The following is a 21,596-nucleotide window of genomic DNA, read 5'->3' on the forward strand; positions in this document are numbered from 1 at the left end:
GGAAGCAGTGGGAGAGGAGGGACCTTTTTGTGTGCTCCAAGTTTAATGGTGGTTTGCTTTTTTAAGGATAAATCACACATTGATCTGCCTCTTCTTGGTACCAAGTCATACACAGAAGGCTTCCTGTTCCCAGCATCAGCCTTAGAAGGGGGACCTGGATGTTGGATCATTTCAAGGGGAACACAGACAGCAGTGATGGTGGACCACGGAGCACTGGCTCTGTCTATGCTGTTTTCGAGCCTGGTAGGCCAGCCCCAGGAGGGCTTCCTGGAGGTGGTATTGACCTTGGGGAAGGGGCTGAGGTGTGCTCATCAGCGCTTTTTTTTTTTGATGCTTGGGTGTTCATGATCCAGCTCGCAGTCCCCAGGCTGAATCTGTAAGAATGGTTTGCTTCTATTTGTCATTTGTGATTGCCCATGAAGGCAGCGCTGGGGATGAGCCGTGGGAGCTGTCAGCCCCGCACCAGGTGCGTGCATGTGGGAGGTCAGAGGGCGCCTGCTTCTGCCTCGATGTCTGTGCCCCGTCTCTGACTGCTGGCTTTCTGCTCACACCTAGGATGGCTGCCTGAGAATGGGACTCTTGTTCTGTGTTTGTGGAGACACTCCTTGGGCCGTGTGACTGCCGGCTTTTTACACCCCGACTGCCATGGGGGTCATCTGGACCCGAAGCCAGCTTCAGGAAGGACATTCGCAGCATCCTCAGCCCAAGGAAAGCGAACGTCCAGCTGAAGAGAGGTGAGCACCACGCCTGGGTAATGAGTCACATAACCTGCCACCTGGACCAGGCGGCTCCCGCTCCTCTCCCCTTCTTGAAGGAGAGACCACTGTGGGGAATGGGCTGTGGGTCTGCTTCCTCAGTTACTTGGGGGTACGTGGGGTTTACTACTGTTGACCCTGTGCTCTTTCTTAGCATGGCTTCATGGCCACGATGCCAGCCTCTGGCAGGGGTGGGGCAAGGGCTGGCATGGAGAATGACACTGGTGTCAACGGCTCTGTGAGATGGATGAAGGGATGGTGACCACAGGGCCTTTGCTTTGTCTAAGGTGTAAATTCATCCAGTGCCTGGGACCTCGGTGCTGAGTGCATCCTTAGGAAAACTTCCTGGAGAGGTGCCCACACTGGGAAGGAGATGGTGGTCCCACCCCAGGGAATTCCTATAGAAAGTGAGAAGCTGAGCTCTGCGTGTGCCCAGGAAGGCCCGTGGGGTGGATCTCCTTTTCAGGAACAAGTTCTAATCTGGAGTGATGCCTGGAAAAGAGGCTGATTCTGGTGAAGGGGCACTGGCGTCTGCCCCTTCCTGGCCCCTTTGGGATGGAGAGCTGACCTATGGGCACACAGCTGGCAGGTGGTGTTTGCCACCTGGTCTGCTGATCCCGCATCTCCCACCCCCTCCCCCGCCAGGATGAACCCCGGGAGAGGAGGCCGGCCCCGTGAATGATAGTGAGGAACCTGCCCAGTGCTATTGTTTGGTACTTAAAGCGAGGTTGCCCTTTGTATATTCGGTTTATTGACATGGAATATACAAGGGCAAGCTCTCTGTGAGTATCAAACCTTGTCTTGGACCCAGTCCACACTCAGCAAGGGATGCGGTATGTGTGTGCATGACCGTGTGTATCCGTTTTGTGTGTGGCAAATCGTTCACGGGTCCCCACTTCACAGAGAGGACTTCACGGGCACCTGGATGACTTTAGGGAAGGCAGTGGCCTCTGGGACATCCCCTCTCCTGGTGCAGTGTGGGCGGGGCCAAAAGCATGCACGATGTGTGTGGTCTGGGTCCCTGCTTCCTGAGCGGGAAGTCATCAGCCCGGGCCGATGGCTGGGGTGGCGCTCGTGTGGGGTAGTGGCTTTGTGGTCCCTGCTGTTACTCGGTCCGTGAGTGTGCATGTTCTGCTTGGGGTATGTGACCCGGTCCACTAACCCTCAGCATCTAATTCATCCCCAGGACCGCGCCTTGAAGACGTACCAAGTCCACCCAAGGCAGTGGCTTTCTTTTCCGTGCTAACCTTTGGTACTTGGAGAGTGGTTATCCCTGTCCTGTTCGTTTTGCTCATGTCGAATCGTACAGGGTCATCCACTTTTTCAGTATCAAGAGCGCAGACTCTGGAGCTCGATTTCCTGTGTTTGGATCCCACCTCTGACATTTACTAACCGTCCAACCTTGGGCAAGGATCTCATCGTGCTGTGCCCATTGTCTCACATGTCAAAGGGGAATCACATTGGCGTCCATTTCTTGGGGCTGCTGGGGCTGAACGAGTTAAGACTTGTACACGGCTCAGAGCAGAGCCCCGTGGTCGGCACTTCGTAGGTGGTAGCCAGGACCCTTGTGTGCTGTGAAACTATCATTGGTGGTGGTGGTGGTGGTGGTGGTGGTGGTTTTATGACTAAAATCTCTCCATGGGTTTTTGGAACAGTGTCAAAACATGGAAGTCAAGTCCTTCATCGGGTATGGAATGGACTAGGAAGCCCAGAGCATACACGGTGTTTACAATGGGGGCTAGTGATGCTCTTGATGCTTGGCAGCTAAGCCATTCACACAGTGGCTTTTGATACAGAATGCCACATGCAGTGGGGGTCAGCAGGGGTGCCGAGAACATTTGCTCCACTTAAGAGAGACAGTCCCTGGGTTCTTGACCTCGGCCACTATCTACGCTTTGAAGGAGTCTTGAGCGAGGATGCCAAGCTGAGTGAGGATTCTATGGCATCTTGCTTCCCTGGTGCTTAAAGAGAGGTCAAACTTGGTGCATGCATTGTGCATGCCTGTGTGTGCGTGGTGTGTGTGCATGAGCGAGTGTGTGACTGGGTTTGCCACGAAGCAGTCACCATCTAACCTTGAGCCAAAGACCTGGAGGTGGTGGTCCGTGCTGCTGTTTCATACTTGAGGAGAAATTATCCTTGGTGTGTTCGCTTTATTTATGATGAATCATACAAGGACAATTTCTTTTTGAGTATCAAATCTTGCCTCGGCAGACTTCCTGGACGCCATGACAAGTTCTGTAAAGGGATGCACGCATCAGCCCTTCCCAGGGGCTCACGCCTGGGTGGGGATGAGGGCGCATGCAGTTGGTTTGTGGTGGGGACACTTGTGCCCTAACCTCAGAACCCTGGAGGCGGGGCCACGCTTGGCAGGGGGCCACGGGACTCCTTGGTGCTATCAGGGATTTGCATTGGCCATGGGTGTGTGTTGTGGGTGACGCAGCATTCAAGCTACTTATCAAATCCTGCTTCTTGGAGGCACTTCTTGGACATGAAGCAAACCTTAGGGACCGATCATTGGGGCCAGACCCCCTTCCCCTGCCCAAGAGTGTGACTGACCCCCAGGCATGGGCTTGACTCTCAATGTGTGAAGCTGACCTGCTAATCCTCATTGTTTGGACTACCTGAGAAGAACTTTCTGGAAGAGACACCAACTTTGGAGAAGATGCCCAGCTCTTCTTGATGGCACAGTTCTTTGGTGCTTAAAGAATGGCTGTCCGTAGTATGGTCTCTATATTTATGATGATTAATATCGGACAACCATTGTTTTAGTATCCAAATTTGCTTCAGAAGTTTTTGAAAGCACAGTGCTGACTTCAGTGAGGGGACATTGGTGCCTGCCCCACCATGGAGTGTGACTGTGTTGATGATTTATAATGATGAATCCAGTGATCTCAGAATGCAAGCCACCAGTGTGATTTCCTTGGACAAATGCTAGCTTTGGGGTGGAGATGCCATTTAGGGGCTTGGTGCCATATCTTTTTATTGGAAGATGTTCACAATTATTTCATCTCTCTTTCTCTTCTTGTTATTAAATCTTAGCCACGAGGAATTCCTTGGAGAGATGCCGGGGTCAAGCCTCTCTCTAGGTAGATGGTGGACCGGGGAACCTGGGTCCAGCCTCTCCTATCTGTAGCCTTCATTCTGAGTATGAAACACTTCCTGTAGGGAATGCAAACATTAGTAAAAACTCCGTACATTTCCTGTTACTATTACTACTTTTTGGCAGCTCCTAAGCAGCTGCCTGTTGGGTATTTGGATTATTCTTGGTGGACGTGGCATGGCTTCGTGCCTTCCTTGGGAACCACCCCATCTTAGACAGACTCTCATGGAATAAGACGTTGTGGTCGACAGCACCTCTGGGGTGTGTGTGTGTGTGTGTGTGTGTTTGTGTGCGTGTGCATATGAATAGTTGGCTAGAGTAGTGTTTCTCAAACTTTAAAAATGCTCCTAAGATTTTCATCACCTAGGGATCTTGTTAAAAAGCAGATTCTGATTCAGGGACCAAGATTCTGCATTTTTAGCAAGTTCTCAAGTGATGCTAATACCGCCGGTCTGTGGACAACACTCACAGTGGTTTGGGGCTGGAGACCAGGTGCTTTCCCTGTGATATGTGTCGCCTGTCTCCCCACATGCCATATACCGTCCATCGTGGGAGAACGGCCCAGAATCAACGTGCCATGTTTTGGTTTGTGAACAAGGGTTCACTTTCACATGCGTAAATAGCATGAGATTACTTTTCTTTAAAATCAAATCATGCCTCAAAGGGCTTCCCAGATACAAGACCTGCTTCAGGGAGGGGCCGCCGGTGTCAAGCTGCTGCAAGATTGTCGGGTGCAGGTCAACGGCACGCTTATTCATTATTGATGTGCTGGGCCCTGGAATTCTGTGACCCTCCGTTTCCAAGCAGTCATCGGGAGGAAATTCCAGGAACTGAGACCATCTCTGCGGTAGGGACCCTGTCTTCAGGGATCAGTGACACCCCATTTTATCGGAAACAGAATTCTTCATGATGGCTTTGCTTATCTCTGACATGCATTCTGCTGGTTCTCGTCATCAAATCCCGTCTTTCAGGAATCCGTGGAGGAAGCTTTCATATATTTTTAATGGAACCTGCCTTAGAAGTCTTTCTGAGCATGGTTCCAATGTCAGGGTTTTGACTTTGGTGCCAGGGCTGCCTGGGCCCTGAGACTGAGGTACGGGAATGGAAGGTCAATGCCAGTACGTGTGCTTTCTTTGCAGGATGTGAACACCTCCCTGCCCCAACCCTGGGATTCAGCTCATCCCAAGAAGAATCTTCTGGAAGCAAAGACAACGGTGGGGAAGAGGCCATGGTTTTCGTTTCAGAACTATGCAAGGATATTTGAGGAGAGGTTATCCGTGTTATGTTCGCTTCATTCATCATGAATAATACATGGTTAACCTCTTTTTGAATATCAGACTCTGCCTCGGAGGGCCGCCCCCACAGGAGACGTGAGAGTGTGTGCCTTGTGTGAGCTGAGAGCCCCTGCCCCGGCTCCGTGCTGCGTGAGGGAAGCTTCCTGGAAGTGAGGCTGGTGGAGGGAAGAGCCCTGGGTTGCTTTGCTGTGTTTGCTGTGAATGCGATGTGTTTTTGCGAGTTATGTGAGGTTCCCTCCTCTTTGAATGCCAACTTGTGCCTTCCCCCAGTGGCTGGGTCTGTGGCTTAGCCACAGGGCTAGGTCCCTTCCTGGACCCAGTGCTTTTCAGGGTGGGTCCCTGGGGGCAAGGACAAGGTTTACCACTCCACTGGGACACTTGAGGAGAGGTTAACTCCTCCATGCGGACTCCTTTGAGGACAGCCTGTTTTCCTCTCAGGGTGGCTCCCTGGATGAAGTCCAGCACCTCTGTGGGTGTGTGAAGGGCAGGCCGACTTGGGCTGTGTTCCCACTCCTCACCCAGGTCACTGGCCCAGTGCCACTTCCTCCTCAGGTCAGCTTCCCTCTGCCAGCCGACCTGGTGGGGTCTCCTGGTCCATTGCTTGGTGCTCATAGACACTGGCACGGTGCCAGGTTCCCTTCACTCCTTCCCGATGGAGACCATGCAGCTAATGAATCTTCGGCTCTGTGATGCTGCCTTGGAGGGCTTCCTGCACACAGCACCTGGTTTGAGAGGAGAACACGGACTCCAGCGTGTCCCCTGGTTATGGAGAAGGGAGGCTGTCCTTGATCCCCCGTTTGGTGGATGATATAGTTTGGCTGTGTCTCCACTCAAATCTCATTTTGAATTCCTTTGTGTTGTGGGAGGGTCCTGGTGGGAGGTAATTGAATCAGGGGAGTGGGTCTTTCCCTTGCTGTTCTTGTGATAGTGAATGGGTCTCATGAGAGCTGATGGTTTTATAAGGCAGAGTTTCCCTGCACAAGGTCTCTGTTTGCCTGCTGCCATCCACGTAAGACCTGACTTGCTTCTCCTTGCTTTCCACCATGACTGTGAGGCTTACCCAGCCACGTGGAACTGTAAGTCCAATTGAACCTCTTTCTTTTGCAAATTGCCCAGTCTTGGGTATGTCTTTATCAGCAGCCAGAAAATGGACTAACACAGTGGAGGGCAGTGGCACCAAGCCCCGCCCCCTTCAGGATGTGGTCCCTGTGTGGGGCAGCATCCTGGAGTGGCTGCAAAGCCCCACTGCTCTCTGCCTCCGTGGCTTTGTCCTATCTGAGGTGGCCAGTGCGCTGGGGTCCCTGTGTGGAGTCAGTTCTTTATGGGTGCCTGCAGGTGCCGGCTTCACAGTAAGAAAACTGTCAGCTTCGCCTGAGGTATGGGCACAGAGGTGACGCAGGGATATGAACTTTGTTGACGAATGTGTTCTCTGCACAGCTAACCCAGAGAATTCATTCCACCCTCAGGAGAAGCCCTAGAAGTGATACAGGCTCTGGCCGGGGGACCCGATGTGCTCGTGTCGCGGCGTGGGGCTTGGTGAGGAACCACCGGAGTGCTCTTGCATTTTTCATGACAAAGACCACACAGTTGGCCTCATTCCTGCACAGTGGGAGAATGTGTGGAGGTGTCCCGCCACCAGAGAGGAGGTCTATGTCAGCACCATCACCAGGTACCTGGGGGAGGGTCTGCTGACGATGCCCAATGTTCAATGGCCCAAGCAACCCGTCCTTGGGGGACTTCTGGGCAAGACCATTTCGGTGCTCAGCCCCACTCCGTGTCCCAGGCAGAGAGGGGGCTGAATTGATGATACCTATTAAATGGGTCATTAATTCTCATTATCCATGCAGCCTGCCCATGAGGGTCCCCCAGAAGGGAGGGCAACTCCGGGGAAAGGTTCTGGCCATCAGCACGAGGCCACGATCCAGGAGGTGCTGCAGAGCCAGAGGCCACAGGACAGATTATCAAGCCAGGTCACAGGCTTTCTCTGTCCTTGACCCTCAGCATCCAGGCTACCTACAAGAGGAGGCAGGGGGACTCCTCTGACACACCTGGGGAGGTCTCGTCAATGGCAGGTTCCCTCTACAATGCTTTCTCTGCTGCAAATGCAACTCAGCATCACCTCTTTCCTGGATATAATTCCAAGGAATTATTAAAGGAGGCATTGGTGTCAGCACCTCGTGAAATACTCGTAAGGATGACCCATGGCAGAGCCTGTGTCTTCATTGGAGTAAGACTCACATGCTGTGGCCTCCAGGCTCTGGAGGCCTCGGGGGCAGAGCAGGGTTGAGGCTGACCGTGGGGCCTCGCCTGGGTTTGTGGCTTATCATATTGGACCACTGTTTTTCAGGACAAACTCCCCGGAGATGTCCCCTGGCAGGACCCTGACCTGGAGGCAGGGTGCTGTCCATGATAGGGGAATGGATGGTTGATCAGAGAACGTACATTTTATAAATGGTGTATGTCAGTTGATCCACAGTCCCTACCTATCCAGTGACTTCTGGAGGCCACATCAGCTCAGAAGACAAGGTGGTGGTTTCCTAGGCCATGCTATTTTCTGGCACTTGAAAGGACCTTCTCCTTGCCGGGTTTGCTTTCTTTATGCCCAGTCTCATGAGGGAGTGCCTTTTTTGAGTATGGATCTTGCTGGGGAAGCTTTCTGGAAGGAGCTGTTGCCCTTCGTCCCTCTCCAGGGGCAAGAATGCATGGTTGGCTGGAAAGCAAGGGCTTGATTGACATTGTGCACCCCTCAACTCTCCTAACCCTCTGTCCCCAATTCATCCTCAGGCGGACTAGCTGGAAGGAAGGCAGACTCTGGTGAAGACGTGGGCCGTCACCGTCAGCCTTCGGTACTTGAAGAGTGGTTATCCCTGCTGTGTTCGCTTAATTTATGACGAATCATACAGGGACATCCAGTTTTTCAGTATCAAATACTGCTTTGGAAGGCTTCCCGGACAGCGTCCCGCCTTCAGGCAAGGGGTCTTGGCTTCACCTCCCACCCAAGGTATGTATGTGAACGGGCCATCGCAGTGCACTAGCTTCTTCATGTGCCACAGCCATGACCAGAATCGAATCTCTGAGGAAGATGGTTACTTCTAAGGCTGTGATTTTCTGGAAGGGGCTTTGGTGTCTGCACTACATTATTGGGGGAAGTTGACCAGTGAGAGGCCCATTCACACAAGACGTCTGTCACCTGCTCCAAGTGACCCTCACCCTTGGTAAGATGAATCTCTGGAGACATGCTGGCTCGGTAGTGTTACTGTCATCAGCCGGACTGACTGATAGGTAATTGGTCATCATTATTGCTTTTGTTCCAGGGCAGAATTTTTGAGTGCCAAATCTTGCCAGGGAAGGGTTTCTGGAAGCAGCACCGCCCTCTGGGGAGACTTGGCATCCACATCTGTTGGAGTTTGTGGAGAGTTAGTTGAGCAGTCTGAGCTTTGTTTCTGAGGCGTCTCCCTGAGCTCACTCTCCTGCCAGAGCTGTGTCCTGCCCATGGCCATAATGGCTATTGAGAGGGTTGGTGACTTTGGCCACCATGATTTTGTTTCGATAAAGTTCTCTCTTTTTAAAAAAATCAGATTCTTTTGTTTATAGCATAACTACATGGTTCATGAGTTGATCAAATAACAAGGAATGACTTGGTCATTCCATAAATAGTGATGGAGTGCACACTGTGTTCTAGGTGATTCTGGACCTTAGCAGAGAGCAGTGAATGAAATCAAGTTCTTGCTCATGTGGACTTTACATTCTGGTGGAAGAGACGGATGAGAACACATGAATTAGGAAGCGTAATTTTGTCCACTGCTAGGTTTTATGGGGAAAGGGAAAGCGGGTTACAGTGACAGAAAGAGGTAAAAGCAGGTGGACCTTTGTGTTAAATACAGGGGTCTGGAAAGCTCTCTCTGAGGATGTGGGTGGGAATGGAGTGGGGTGGACCAGAGGAAGGTCTGGGGTAGGAGCATTTCAGGAGGAGGGCAAGGCCCATGGAAAGCCCCCTGGCATCTTTAAGAAAAAGCAAGAAGGCCAGTGGGATTGAACCGAGCTGCTGGGAGTCGCTGGGTCTGAGCTGGGAGAGGCAGGACTCCAGGTTTTATTCTGAGTGAGATGGGGGATTTGGAAGGGTTGTGAGCAGGGGGGATGCGTGGTCTGTGTTGGAAAGATCACTCTGACCACAAGGGCATTGATAGAGAATCTACCCAGGGCAGTGATGGGGAACCTACCAGGAGCCTGGCGTGCCTGAGCTGGGCAGTTTCTCTAGGGGCACCTGCAGTGGCAAAAGGGGGCCCCCTCTGGACCTCCCTAGTTCAGTGGGCCCTGCGGGAGCCTGGCTGGCACCTTGATGTGCTTGATGGATAACTCAGTGTGCTCTGTTGAGAAGTCCAAGGCCCTGTTCAGAAACCCTGGGGTCTACACACTGCGGAGTGCTCCTGGCGTGTGACAAGTGGCTTCCCTCTTCTTATTTCTAAACCTTGTGCGTGTGGATTCAGGACCACAATTTCAACTCCAGGGAAGGGGGACTGTGCCAGCACCACTCCAAGGGAGGTGAGTGAAGGGTTGCCCAAACTCCAGTGTGTTCCTAGGACACCCGTAAGCTGCCTCACTAATGCTCGGTGTCCACTCTGTCCACAGGATGGTGGTTGGCAGCCACTCCCCTTGGAGAAGTGGAAGGGGACTCCTTGTCTGTCTTGTCTCTGCTTTTCTGTGGTACTTGAAGAGAAGTTGTTCGTGGTGGATTCGCTTTACTTATGACGAATCATTCACGGACAACACTTTTTTCAGTACCAAATGCTACCTCTAAGGACTTCCTGGACACAATGGCAGCTTCAGGAAAGATAGTCTTTGTGTCAACCATGTGGAAAAGCCAAGAATGGATGGCGGGCCATGGACAATGCGCTGACCTAGCTGTAAGTCACCTGGCCCGATAATCCGAGCCTCCCATGCACCTATAGGAGGTCTTCCCATGGGTCTCACCAACTCTGGGGAATCAGCTGTGGTTCTGTCACCAGCGTCACCTCACAAGACTTTGAAGAGAGGCTCCCTGGGCCCCAGGCCGACTTCCAGAAGAGATGTTGGTGTCAGCACCGTCCAGGGTGTGTGACTGGTTGACCAGAGGGGCATGCACTGTGTTCACCCTGTGGGCCACCTAGTCACCAACCCTCAGCATCACTCCCACTCCAGGAAGACTTTCCAGAGCTCCCACCAACTCTGGGGAAGCGGCCATGGACTTGCTGTGACTGCTTGGTGGACTGCGATGACACGTGCTCTTGGGGGTGTATGTTTACTTAAAATGCAATGAGTCAGCCTTGGCAGCCCCTTCACCACTGTGACAGCCTCCTTGAAGTGTTGACTTCCGATGTGGGACGCCATGTTGTCTTCTGTTGAGGGACCTGATGTGGGCCAGCTTTTCTCCTGGGTGTGTGACTGAATCCTTCTTCCCAGAGCATGTGCTGCCTTTGTTAGGTCTGTCACGTCGTCCTCTAATACCCAGCATCCTGTCTCTCCCTAGGAGGCTCCATGGAGATAATGCGGCTTTGGGAAGCGGCCATGATTCTCCTGTCAGGGACCAGTGAGCTACGCAAAAGCTCCCTGTCTTGTCTGGAAGGACGAACTGCATCCTTGCTGCTGGGGAGAAGGCAGTGCCCTCAGCACTCCCTTAAGGTAAGTGCGCCTCGGGTGAGCATGCACTTAATGTGGGTGTATGTCACTCGGCTCGGCCCACTACCCAATACTATCCCACCCATTCCTAACAGGACTCCCGAGAAGGGCGGCCACCTCTGCCAGAGAGGCAATGGATTTCTCACCAGTGTTCATGTGTGGTACTTGGAGAGAGGCTGGCCGTGATGAATTCGATTCATCAAAGCGAGTCATACACGGCTCTCCTCTCTTTTAGTGTCAAATTCTGCCTCGGAGGGCTTCCTGAGCCAGTGCTGCTTCCAAGGTAGGTTTCTGGATGGCTGACCCCATGGCAAGCATTTTCCTGAGGATGCATGTAACTGACCTACTAACTTTAGAGTCCAAGCTGACCCTAAAACAACTTCCTGGGGCACTACCAACTTTAGGAAAATCGAGAGAGGTTGTTGGGATGCCCTAATTTTTTAAAAGTTAAGATTGAAATACACATGGCTGACTTCTTTTTTTATTCCTATCAAATTCAACCTTGGAGTTGAATCTTGGGCATCTAGAAGCATCTTTTATTAGTCAGCCGTCGGGATACAGAAGAAAACAGGAACAGGACTCTGTGCGACCCCTGGTTTACTAACCCACAGCAGCCTTACACCCTCCAGAGAATTCCTGTAAGGGAATCCCAGGTTTACCAAGGAGGCAGTGCTTAGCCTGCTTTTGCACACACATTTGTGTGTGGTTTGCTTCATATTTAATGACTCCTGTGCCACTGACATCCTTGCATTATTAAATGTTGCCTGCATGGCCAGCTGAGCACAAGAAGTGGTATTTCTGTGCACACTAATCCTGGCTTGGTGAACCTGGGGTTGGCCGGAGAGCATGGGTTTGAGCCACCTGGTCCACTCATCCTCAGGGTCCCATCCACCCTCAGAGGCCACTCCCAAGCTGCCCAGGCTGTGCAGAAGATGCAGGAATGCTGCGAGCAGTGCCACCTCATGGTACTCGGAGGGAGGTTGTCCGTGGTGAGTTCGCATTATTTAATGATGCCCAATACACGGTCGACCTCTTTTCGGTATCAGATCTCACCAGGTGTCTTCTTGGACCTGATGCCGATTTAGGGGACACCATACTCATGTTGGTTCCACACCAGTGCAACTGAACATGTGTGTGGCCCTGGAACCAATGGGTAGGTGCTGCTAGCACTCCTAATCCTCAGCCAGTGCATTCCTGGGGAAGAAGCATGTGATCTGTGCTCAAGACCCCTCTGTGACTGAGGAAGTGGTGGTGCCCATGATGCTTCTGGGGTTTTGTGTTTTTTTTTAAAGAAAAACAATGTATAGTTCTCTTCTCTTTCACTATTAAATCTTACCATGGAGGAAGGACTTCTTAGACATGTTGACAAATTCAGGGAAGGGGCGTTGATTTCAGCATTCTTGGGGACTCACTGGAAGGGTGACTCACCACATCTGTTGATCTGGAGGCCACAGCAAATTTAAGAACAGAAGACAGTTGCATTTTCAATTTCTTGTTTTTCTTTTCAAAAAGGATAATTATTCTACCTTATTACCATATTTATGAAAATGACACATGCTTAATAAAATTCAAGCGATGTGGAAAAATCTAAATGAAAAAGAAGGAAAATTGCCCAATTCTCTGGCACCCAGAAATAACCATTAAGGGCTTTAGAAATTTCATACACCTGTCTGAGCATACATGCAAATAGAAAAACAAGACAGACGCAGGGAAAATATGAGATCACACTGTACCTAATCATTTTATTAAAAATGCTAACTATAATTTTCCTTGAATTTATCATAAAAAACAAGCTAAAGGAGATTGAAATGATTGATAAATGTTTCTCGCTTTACCACCACAGGTAGCAACTCCTAAAAGATCCCTGTAAAATTAAGAAAAATTAGAGTGTAAAAATTAAGTGGTTAGGATTGTTATGGTTTTTAACTATTTCAATTTCACTCCTAGTTCAGAAAGATAAAGAAGTCAGCATTCTTATTCTTCCTTTGCTTACTATCTCCTGCTTTTTCTCAATTATACATTTTAATTTTACATTATAAATATCTGCAATTTGTTCTAGAACTATAATTCTTGCAGGTGTTTTGCCATAGTTCTATATTTAAATGAATTCATTTCTGACCACAAGGTTTGTTTTTTTTTAACTGAGGTTTCTCCGTTCTTTAGTTTTTAAGTTTAATTTATCTCTCAATGGAAATGATCTTATTGTTTCTGTGAGAATAGCTCATAGACACTACCCTTGAGTTCCTGTGCATTTGAGAGTATATATCTCTTTATGCACAAGGGACAGCTTAACTAGGTATAAAAGTCTCAGCCTACTTGTTTTTTCTCAGAAATTTATAGCTATTGTCCACTGTTTTTTGCATTGAGGCTTTCACTAGCTGTCTTAATGTGGCTTCTCCATGTAGCTCTTACTTACCTGGACTATTTTATCTAGCGATCTTCACAAACCTTGTTGGAAAGACTTTGAGGTACTATGTTCTGTGAGGTATTTCGTCTCTGAGAATGTCTGACCATTGCTCTTACACCTTTTCCCATCTGTCCATTTTTTTTTCATTCTGTTCTATTTGGCCTTTATGATTTCAAGTTTTTAAAATTTCTTTAGTCACTTTAAAGATATTTATTGTATAATTTCTTTCAGCTTTAGGGATACAAGCCCCTTTCTTTGTTGAATCTATTGACTCTCATGATGGTGCTTTTCTTCATGGTTTTTGTAGCTTTGTGTTGTGAGGTTATCATCAGTTGAGCACTTAGGTGTTTCTGTTTTGTTTCAATCCCTATGCACATGAGTTTGCATTTGGTTCTGCCTGGTACCCCAAGGAATTTACCAGTTGGTACCAGTTTTTCAACTCATTTTGTTGGCTTAAGGATTCCCAGACATATGGCTGGCAGAAGTCCTCACCATATCTTTGTCCTGAACCTTTGGTATCTCACAGGAGACCTCATTCTATCCACTCCCTAAAAATGACAAATTCTCTTATCCCTGGCCATTATAAAATTTTCTGGTTCCCCTTTCCATTCCCAGATCAACTTCTCCTGGATGCACGGTCATGTCTTTTCATCCTGCTTGTACTTGAACTTGACTGTAGACCCTTGGAGCCTCTAGCCAGCACAGCATCCCTTAGATCCCTTAGTGGCAGGTTGCATGAACTAATTCTTTTCATTAACACCTGAGGGTTTTGCCTTTCAGCTGTATGTTTATTTGGGAATTGATTTTGCCTGCTGTTGCATTTTATCCAACACTTCTCAATGTTTGTGGAGGAGAGGGTTCCCTATCAGTGCTTGTTGCTGGGATGGAGCCTTTGAGCTGAATGATGGGTGAACTTGGCATGACATTCTTGGCTCCCAGTTTCTTCCCTCTGAACTTTGTAAACTTGCCTCCATTGCTTTCTGGTGTTAAACCATTGCTGTGGACAAGCCTGGGGACAGCTGCTTTCCCTTGGATGGATGAACTTTTTTTTTTTCCTGCTTAGATTTCCTGATTCTTTCTTTAGTCTTGAACGTTGGTGACTTTACCGGGTTATGACTCAGTCACTATTTTTATTCATTAGTTTTTCTGAATCATAATATGCCTTCTTGATGAGTAGATTTAATCGTTCCTTTGTTTCAAGGATTTATTCATTTTATGAGCACTTTTCTACTCCAGGTGTTGGTTTTTTCTTTGGTGAAATAATCTGTTTTGTTCATTTCATTGTGTACTGGAGGAGAAGAAAGTCTGTCATCTGGCCCCTTGCTGCCATCTGTCTGCACGTCAGTCTGTTGTCATTTGCACTGTGCATTTGTCTATTTAAAACAATCCTACCCAGATGCCCCCTCCTCAGTGTCACCTTCCACCCTGGCAGGATGCCTTATGGCAATGCCACTTCTGAGATGGTCGTGGGAGTCAGCACCACTGGCCAGGTATGTGAATTTTCTGCTAACAATGGAAGAGTTTGAAAAACCATATATGAAGTACCATTAACCCCAAGCATGCAATCTATCCTTAGGAAGACTTCCTGGAAATTATGCTCACCTTTGGGGATGAGGCCATGATTCTGAGGTCAGTGCCATGCCATGGTCTAATAAAGTTTGCATTCAATGCTGTTTGTTTCTGTATGATCAATATTGTAAAGTCAGTCTCTTTGTCATGGACTCAGCTTTGGAGGGTTCCTGGACACAAGGCCTGTGTAAGGAAAGGATCATTACTGTCAGCCTCGATGCTAATGTGAGATGAGGGAATGTGCCCTGCTCTGATCCAAATGCTGAGTTTCTGTGCACTTGGCCTCTCCACCATCAGGTTCCCTGGCAGTGCTCCTTTAGACATGCACCCACCTTGGCAAAGGCATTGAGGTCTGGATGGCTGCAGGGTCCGGGATGGAATGGTTGAATACAGGGCGTGTGCTTTCTTCTCAACCCTCTTGCAGTCCGTCTGCTAACCGTCAATGTTCACTGTCTCCTAGGGGGACTTCCTGGAGGAGGCCAACTTTGGAGAACAGGCATTGACATTGGGTCTGCGCTAGCGTGTGGTACTTGAAGATAGGTTATCCGTGTTGCCTTCGCTTTATTTGTGACGAATCATACACGGTTGACCTATTTTTCAGTACCAAATCCCGCCTTGGAGGGCTTCCTGGAGCGGAGTCTTACTTCAGGGTGTCAGCTCCTCTCCAGGGTAAGGAAGGGGACCATTGACCATAGCCGACCCAGCAGTGTGCCCTGGCCCTAACCCTGTGTGTGCCCCGTCCTTGGGGAGGTTTCTAGAGATGGTGCCACCTTTGGGGAAGAAGTGGAGCTTTTCCTATCAGAGCTACTCTGTGGTACTGGTGGAGAGGTCTTCCATGATGCATTCGATTTATTTTTTGACCAATCCTACATAGTGGACTCTTTTGAAAGCATTAAATCTAGCCTTAAAGCACCCTCGGGTGGTGCCGAGTTTAGGAACTAGAACTGGTGTCTGAATGCCTGAACGCACGGCGAAGCTGACAGTGTGCACACTCTTCTTGGTGGGTCGTGCACCTGCAGGCGTCCTGCTTGCTTACCATGGCAGTTTCCTCGAAAGAGGCGGCAGTTCCCTCATCGGCTCACTGCATGTTTGACAAGACACCGTCTTGCTGTCTTCCCTGCTGCCCTCTCTTCATGTATCACAGATGGTGCTCTGCAGACCTCTCTGCTGTGGCACTTCCCTCCCTGAATGGCTTCCTGCAAGAGGTGCTAATTGCAAGTAAGGGATGGAGTGCGGCCCGGACCGCAGAGCTTATTTCGTGGGTGGTGTGTTGCCACCTTCCTGACTCTCAGTATCCCGTCCGTCCTCAGGCCTGCTGCTGGGACGCGCTGGAAGCGAGCACCCAAGTCAGGTACTCGAATGGAGGTTGTCCATGGTGTGTTCATTTTATTTATGATGAGTATTACATGGCCAATCTCCTTTCGGTACTCAATTCTTCTTGGGAAACGTCACGAGGGGAAAGCCCAGCCGGCACCTGCGCAGGGTAAGGAAGTGGATCACCTCCGCATGACAGGTGCTCTCTGTGTGACTTACATCACTTGGCTCATATCCCGGCCATCATTAGGAGGAATTCCCCGAAATGATGCTGACGTTTTAGTTGACATGGTGGTCTTCTAGTCGCATCCTTGAAGACTCGTCAGTGAATAAACCACATTTAGTCAACCTTTTTAGGTGTGAAATCATCTTGGCTGTGTGGCACACTTTAGGGAAAGGAACTCCTGGCTGAATGGAAGACATCCACATTACGCCCTCAAATACCTTATCTTCTGGGTGACCTCTGGGAAGCAAGGGGTGAAGGGGGTTTCCTCAGCAGTGAGAATTAATGTTGTTTAAAGACACATTTCCATGGCACGACTCGGTTATTCCTACTGCAAGACGAGAATTGTTAATAGCATTTATTACTACCTTATGTTGCCAGCTGTGTGCCCTTGGAAAATCCCTTCACCTATCAGCTCTCTGGGCCTCAGTCTCTTCCTCTGTAAAGCAGGGTTAACAGCGGAGTGGAAACGTGCTCTTTGTGAAGTGTCTAGACAGCGTCTGGCACGTGGCTGTAGGATAAGCATTGTTTCTGAGGATGGTCATTATATGAATGTTATGTCATCTGCACTCATTGTCCTCTCGCCACTAGAATGGAAGCTCCCTGAGGGCAGAGTCCTTGTCTGTTTTGCCTGGTGCTGTGTCGCCAGATGTGCACAGTAGGTGTGATGCTGAATGAATGAATAGGCAGCGTGACCTGTTTTCTTGGTTGAACTCTCTTTGAGGCCTCCTGGAATGGAGTGCATGGAGTACAGTCACCTGAGCCTGTGCTGTCCCTGTGACGCAGCCCCACCCACCCTCTGAGGATGCTGCGCTGGACGAGGAGTCGCCAGCCTTCAGGTCGGGTCCTCCCTCAAACCCCTGTAGGCTGGACTGAACACGGTCACATGGTTCATTGGCAGCCCCCTTCTCTGTGTGAAATCCTGCTTCAGAGACTTCCAGAGGAGATACCGGCTCTGGAGGTGGACCTTGGTGTTCCAGCCCCTCTAGGGTAGGTGACCAGGGGCTGACTCTAGCTCGGGCTGACCTGTGATGTGTGTGTGCATAGCCTCGCCCCCACTGCCTGCTCCAGGGCTACAGAAGCTGGTCCATGACCAACCATGTTCTGACCACTGCCTGGGGGGCTTCTCGGAGGTAGAGAGAGAGAGAGAGCAAGAGGGGAGAGAGCGAGCCAGCAAGCCAGCGAGCCTGCAGCTGGAGTCAGCAGGGAGGTCCCGCAGGCAATGCCGCCTTTGGTGAAGAGGCATCTCGGTGTGTTCTTGCCCGTGCTGATGTTTGACCCTTGAGCAGAGGTTGCCCTTGGTGAATTCGCTTTATTTATGTTGAATCACACAAAGGCAACTTTTGTTTGAGTATCAAATCCTGCTTGGGATGGCTTCCGGGACCCAGTGGCAAGCTCAGGGGCATCTACACCCCTCCCGTGAGCAAGAATGGACGGGGTAGACGTGGGTGGTCTGCCCTCTGCGGTCCTCTGCGGTGGATGAGAACAGATGTCGCTCAGAGAACACAAGCTTCATTCATGATGGGGGCGGGGCTCGCGGCCCGGGGAGGATGGCGTTGGTGTCGCGTCGGCTTTAGCTCTTACCCTGGACCCTGTCTCTTTACATCACCATTTTGGCTGTGTTGATCCCAAAGACATTTTGACTCCACCATTTTTTTTTCGGAAGGTATTTGACCTCGCGGATACACAAAGAGCTCACACTTGGCAGGGTCTGTGACGAGTCTGCAGCCCCAGACCCCCGTCTAGCTCACAAGCACTGTGCTTCTTTCTGCACCTTTCCTTGTCTCTATCTTTCTCTTTCTATCCCCCAACCAAACATTGTTCCCAATTTTCTCCTGGGTTATGAAACAAATAGAGGCTATCAGTATCTCATCCCATTTGTATTAAATAATACTGATAAAAATAATCAACACAAAATAAAACTAAAAACAGCTGAAACGGCACAGTGCTAAATGTGTTCAGTTGACTACAAATTGGCAGAGGAATCCAATTTTCTTGACAACATTTCAGCTGTGACATTTGACCTGGGGAAATAGCAAGCTGCCGACGTGGCAGCCATGGAAGGAAATTCACGGTGGCGGCGGTGATAAACAGTGATATTTGATGTAGACAAGAACACATTGAGGAATCAAATCTTCATGCAGATTTTTAAATGGAAAAAATTGATCCTAATGAAAATGATTTGGGGAAAATAACAAGGGAAATAAGAGAAATGAAAACAGCTCAACAGCGCGGTCAGGAAAGCTAAACAGGGAATTGGATTAGTATAATGGCATTGGCTCTGAAAAACACGTTTCTATGAATATCAGTGTTGGTACAATTCTTGTGAAGGTGGTTACATTTGTGCGTGTTTACAGTGGAGTTGGTGGGGTCAGTAGGAACCTAGGGTCAAAAAATGGGATACAGTCTCCCCCTTTATGCAGTTGATCTTTTCTTGCTGCCCCAAACCTTCCCGAGAGCTTCCCGGAAAGGTGTGCTGACTTCAGGCGTGACACACTGGTAAGGCGTCCTCCCGGGGATCTGGGTGCATGTTGTCCCCAGAGCATTCATACGTAAGTGACAGGCATCACCTGGTCTCCCTCCATCCCCACGGAGGGTTCTGGGTGAGACGCTGACTCCGGAGGGAAGCAGAAGTTCTACGGTCAGTGGGGTCTGGTCTTTCAGGACAGTTGCTTCTGTGAACTCAGAAAATCTGAGACAGCTCTTAGTTAATTTAGAAAGTTTATTTTGACAAGGTTGAGGATACACCCGTAACACAGCTTCAGGAAGTACTGTGGTCAAGGCACAGCTTGGCTTTATACATTTTAGGGAGACATGAGACATCATTCAGCACATGTAAGAAGTACATTGGTTTTGTCTGCAAAGGTGGGACAACTTGAAGCGAAGGCAGGAAGGAGGGAGCTTCCAGGTCACAGACAGGTGATACACAAATGATTACATTCTTTCGCGTTTCTCATGAGCCTTTCCAAAGGAGGCAAATCAGATACGCATCTGTCTCAGTGAGCAGAGGGATGACTTTGAATGGAATGAGAGGCAGGTTTATCCTGAGCAGCTTCCAGCTTGAGTTTTCCTTAGTGATTTTAGGGGCCCGAGATAACTTTCCTTTCACACTTCCAAGGCTATTGATGAACACACAGGCATCCAGGAACATTCTGGGGTTCAGTCCTTCCTCAGACTCTGCTGTTGATACCTTACATGGTTCCATGCTGGCCCCAAGGACGTGCCCTTCGTTGGTGCCGAATGTCATTTGGTCATAGAGGCTGAAAGTCATTCTGGAGTTGATGTTTCCAAGGTCAAAAACCTTGCTGGGGCTGTGGAAAGAGCTCGTTGTTTGCTGGCCTGCTTTGTTGGTGACCAGCATTGCACATGGCTTTCTTTTCAGATCAAACCCTACCTGGAGAATTTCCAGAAGCAACAGCACCCTCAGGAGGCGGCCTGCAGCCGGAGCCCTCTCCAGGGCAGGTGCCTGAGGGCCGCCCATGGGACAGGCCCGATTGTACCCACGGTGCATGTCATCTGTTCCACTCCTGCTGACTCCGGTGCGTTCCGGGACCACCTTGGGAGGTGATGCCTGCCCCAGGAAGGAGGCTCTGATGCAGGTCAGTGCCCATGGCTCCTGAAGGGAAGTCGTCTGTGACATCTTTTCTTTCTTTACAGCAGGCCTCGCATGGCTGGCCTCTTGCTCCACTTGTAGCAAGGCGCAGAGGGCTCTCTGAGCTCATGCCAACGTCAGGGAAAGGATTCTGCTGTCGGTCCCACTCCAAAGTTCACAGAATGGGTGGTGGGCACAGAATCTGGACTCTGCTTGTGGCATCCATCGTCTGGCCCGATGCTTGCTGGCTGCCCGCTCCAGGAGGCACCTTCTGGGTGTTCTCTGAGTCTGGGGAAGGTTGGGTTCTGAGGTCAGGGCTGCCCTGACCCTTGTGAAGAGAAGACATCTGTGACTCACCTGCTTTCTTCTGCTGCATTTATCCCCCCAGTCCCTTATTTTGAATGTCTCACTTGCTTTATGAGGCTAATCAGATGGTCAGCCAGCTGTTGATAACTGTGAAGTTACTCTTTGAGGGATCCTGGGGTGATGCCTCTGTGGGCTGGAGATGGTGCTGGTGAGACCGCAGGTCTGGGGTCAGCGTTGTGCCCCGTTGAGCTCCCGCCAAAGGAATCCTCTGCTGGGAGGGAGGCTCTGTGCTTGTGCAGGGGTCCCTACAGGGTCACCCCCTCTCAGGGTCTGGGAATGAAAAGCGGGTGCGAGCAGGGTTTCATTTTCATCTTTAGCAAGGTGCCCAAGGAAGGTTGCCGTCTTTTCAGTATAAGATCCTACCTGGGTCTTGCACTCAACTTCTGGGAAGAGTCTCTAGATTCATTCTGGAAGGGGTTGGAATCGTTGGACTTGGTGATTGGGAACGTCCTTGGAGAGTGTGAGGCTCTGGGCTCTGAATGCCCAGACCTTGTGCTGCCCTTGGGGGAGGGTCTTCTGCAAGCACAGCCGCCTGCAAGCATTCACCTTAGTCCGAGCATCTGAGCCTCTCCATGGTACTCGGGGAGAGGTTACCCGAGCAACTTTGCATCTGGACGACGAATGTTGCTCGGTGAACCCCTTTTCGGTATCAAATTCCACCAGGGAGGCCGTCTTGGAGGCTGGGGCACCTCGGGGAAGGACGCCGGCATCAGCACCATTCTGGGGTACGGGGATGGATGGTCGACCAGTTGGAAAGTAATTGTTTCTAATGTACTTCACCTGGTCCACTAGCCGTCCGTATCCGCTGCAGCCTGTGGGGCCTGCGGGCCGGGGAGCCGATCGCGCTTCAGCTCAGCGCCTTTCCTGGTACTTGAAGGGAGATCGACCGTGTTATATTCGCTTTATTGACTTCGAATAATACATGGTTGATCTTTTCTCAGTATCAAATCTCACCTTGGAGGACCCGTTGGAGATGAAGCCCTTTTGAGGGTAGGAGCAGGACGGGTGCTTTGGAGTCGCTGCCTCAGTGGGGCCTGGTCACCGAGAGTGGGCCGGGCAGGGGTCTCTTTCCTGTCTCTGTGTCTTCTCACCTTTGATGTCCCATCCGTCCTCAGGACTGCTTCCCGGGGGCAGCGCTGGCACCACGGGACGCGGCAGCCACGTTCTTGAGCCGATGGCACTCTGGGTACCTGAGAAGAGGTTGTCTGTGATGAGTTCGCTTTTATTAATGACGAATATAACACAGATGGCCTGTTTTCAGTACCGCTACCGCCCGGTGGTGTGCGGGCGCCACGCCTGAGGCGGGACTTTCCAGGGTAC

The 21,596-nt window shown here is 50.3% G+C and overlaps 1 long non-coding RNA gene and 20 other non-coding genes across 21 annotated transcripts, besides 2 other annotated features; all 21 read left to right on the forward strand.

Moving 5' to 3' along the window:
• Positions 1 to 706: 706 nt before the first annotated feature.
• On the forward strand, positions 707 to 7,345 carry MIR381HG (MIR381 host gene). Its single transcript, NR_104192.1, has 3 exons — positions 707 to 734; positions 6,617 to 6,819; positions 7,152 to 7,345. It is a non-coding gene; the product is annotated as an MIR381 host gene (long non-coding RNA).
• Positions 1,315 to 1,815: an enhancer, noted in NCBI's record as "H3K4me1 hESC enhancer chr14:101512102-101512602 (GRCh37/hg19 assembly coordinates)". NCBI's record gives its function as "activates a minimal SCP1, AML or CMV promoter by ChIP-STARR-seq in naive H9 embryonic stem cells {active_cell/tissue: H9 hESC(naive)}" and the evidence as "EXISTENCE:reporter gene assay evidence [ECO:0000049][PMID:30033119]".
• MIR381 (microRNA 381) lies at positions 1,470 to 1,544 on the forward strand. The gene has a single exon (NR_029873.1). It is a non-coding gene; the product is annotated as a microRNA 381 (primary transcript).
• Positions 1,816 to 2,316: an enhancer, noted in NCBI's record as "H3K4me1 hESC enhancer chr14:101512603-101513103 (GRCh37/hg19 assembly coordinates)". NCBI's record gives its function as "activates a minimal SCP1, AML or CMV promoter by ChIP-STARR-seq in naive H9 embryonic stem cells {active_cell/tissue: H9 hESC(naive)}" and the evidence as "EXISTENCE:reporter gene assay evidence [ECO:0000049][PMID:30033119]".
• Positions 2,005 to 2,088, forward strand: MIR487B (microRNA 487b). Its single transcript, NR_030267.1, has one exon. It is a non-coding gene; the product is annotated as a microRNA 487b (primary transcript).
• Positions 2,871 to 2,948, forward strand: MIR539 (microRNA 539). Its single transcript, NR_030256.1, has one exon. It is a non-coding gene; the product is annotated as a microRNA 539 (primary transcript).
• On the forward strand, positions 3,451 to 3,529 carry MIR889 (microRNA 889). Its single transcript, NR_030595.1, has one exon. It is a non-coding gene; the product is annotated as a microRNA 889 (primary transcript).
• Positions 4,208 to 4,298, forward strand: MIR544A (microRNA 544a). Its single transcript, NR_030257.1, has one exon. It is a non-coding gene; the product is annotated as a microRNA 544a (primary transcript).
• MIR655 (microRNA 655) lies at positions 5,100 to 5,196 on the forward strand. The gene has a single exon (NR_030391.1). It is a non-coding gene; the product is annotated as a microRNA 655 (primary transcript).
• Positions 7,346 to 7,995: 650 nt separating the features above from the next.
• On the forward strand, positions 7,996 to 8,075 carry MIR487A (microRNA 487a). The gene has a single exon (NR_030162.1). It is a non-coding gene; the product is annotated as a microRNA 487a (primary transcript).
• A 1,780-nt stretch (positions 8,076 to 9,855) lies between these two features.
• MIR382 (microRNA 382) lies at positions 9,856 to 9,931 on the forward strand. Its single transcript, NR_029874.1, has one exon. It is a non-coding gene; the product is annotated as a microRNA 382 (primary transcript).
• A 305-nt stretch (positions 9,932 to 10,236) lies between these two features.
• On the forward strand, positions 10,237 to 10,309 carry MIR134 (microRNA 134). Its single transcript, NR_029698.1, has one exon. It is a non-coding gene; the product is annotated as a microRNA 134 (primary transcript).
• A 498-nt stretch (positions 10,310 to 10,807) lies between these two features.
• On the forward strand, positions 10,808 to 10,873 carry MIR668 (microRNA 668). The gene has a single exon (NR_030408.1). It is a non-coding gene; the product is annotated as a microRNA 668 (primary transcript).
• Positions 10,874 to 10,968: 95 nt separating this feature from the next.
• MIR485 (microRNA 485) lies at positions 10,969 to 11,041 on the forward strand. The gene has a single exon (NR_030160.1). It is a non-coding gene; the product is annotated as a microRNA 485 (primary transcript).
• A 727-nt stretch (positions 11,042 to 11,768) lies between these two features.
• On the forward strand, positions 11,769 to 11,850 carry MIR323B (microRNA 323b). The gene has a single exon (NR_036133.1). It is a non-coding gene; the product is annotated as a microRNA 323b (primary transcript).
• A 3,454-nt stretch (positions 11,851 to 15,304) lies between these two features.
• On the forward strand, positions 15,305 to 15,388 carry MIR154 (microRNA 154). Its single transcript, NR_029704.1, has one exon. It is a non-coding gene; the product is annotated as a microRNA 154 (primary transcript).
• A 734-nt stretch (positions 15,389 to 16,122) lies between these two features.
• Positions 16,123 to 16,224, forward strand: MIR496 (microRNA 496). Its single transcript, NR_030176.1, has one exon. It is a non-coding gene; the product is annotated as a microRNA 496 (primary transcript).
• Positions 16,225 to 17,599: 1,375 nt separating this feature from the next.
• MIR377 (microRNA 377) lies at positions 17,600 to 17,668 on the forward strand. Its single transcript, NR_029869.1, has one exon. It is a non-coding gene; the product is annotated as a microRNA 377 (primary transcript).
• Positions 17,669 to 20,044: 2,376 nt separating this feature from the next.
• MIR541 (microRNA 541) lies at positions 20,045 to 20,128 on the forward strand. Its single transcript, NR_030594.1, has one exon. It is a non-coding gene; the product is annotated as a microRNA 541 (primary transcript).
• Positions 20,129 to 20,849: 721 nt separating this feature from the next.
• Positions 20,850 to 20,928, forward strand: MIR409 (microRNA 409). The gene has a single exon (NR_029975.1). It is a non-coding gene; the product is annotated as a microRNA 409 (primary transcript).
• Positions 20,929 to 20,996: 68 nt separating this feature from the next.
• MIR412 (microRNA 412) lies at positions 20,997 to 21,087 on the forward strand. Its single transcript, NR_030155.1, has one exon. It is a non-coding gene; the product is annotated as a microRNA 412 (primary transcript).
• Positions 21,088 to 21,147: 60 nt separating this feature from the next.
• MIR369 (microRNA 369) lies at positions 21,148 to 21,217 on the forward strand. Its single transcript, NR_029862.1, has one exon. It is a non-coding gene; the product is annotated as a microRNA 369 (primary transcript).
• Positions 21,218 to 21,461: 244 nt separating this feature from the next.
• Positions 21,462 to 21,541, forward strand: MIR410 (microRNA 410). Its single transcript, NR_030156.1, has one exon. It is a non-coding gene; the product is annotated as a microRNA 410 (primary transcript).
• The last annotated feature ends 55 nt before the right edge of the window (positions 21,542 to 21,596 follow it).

Source organism: Homo sapiens, chromosome 14 (assembly GCF_000001405.40).
Source record: "Homo sapiens chromosome 14, GRCh38.p14 Primary Assembly".
NCBI lineage: Eukaryota > Metazoa > Chordata > Mammalia > Primates > Hominidae > Homo > Homo sapiens.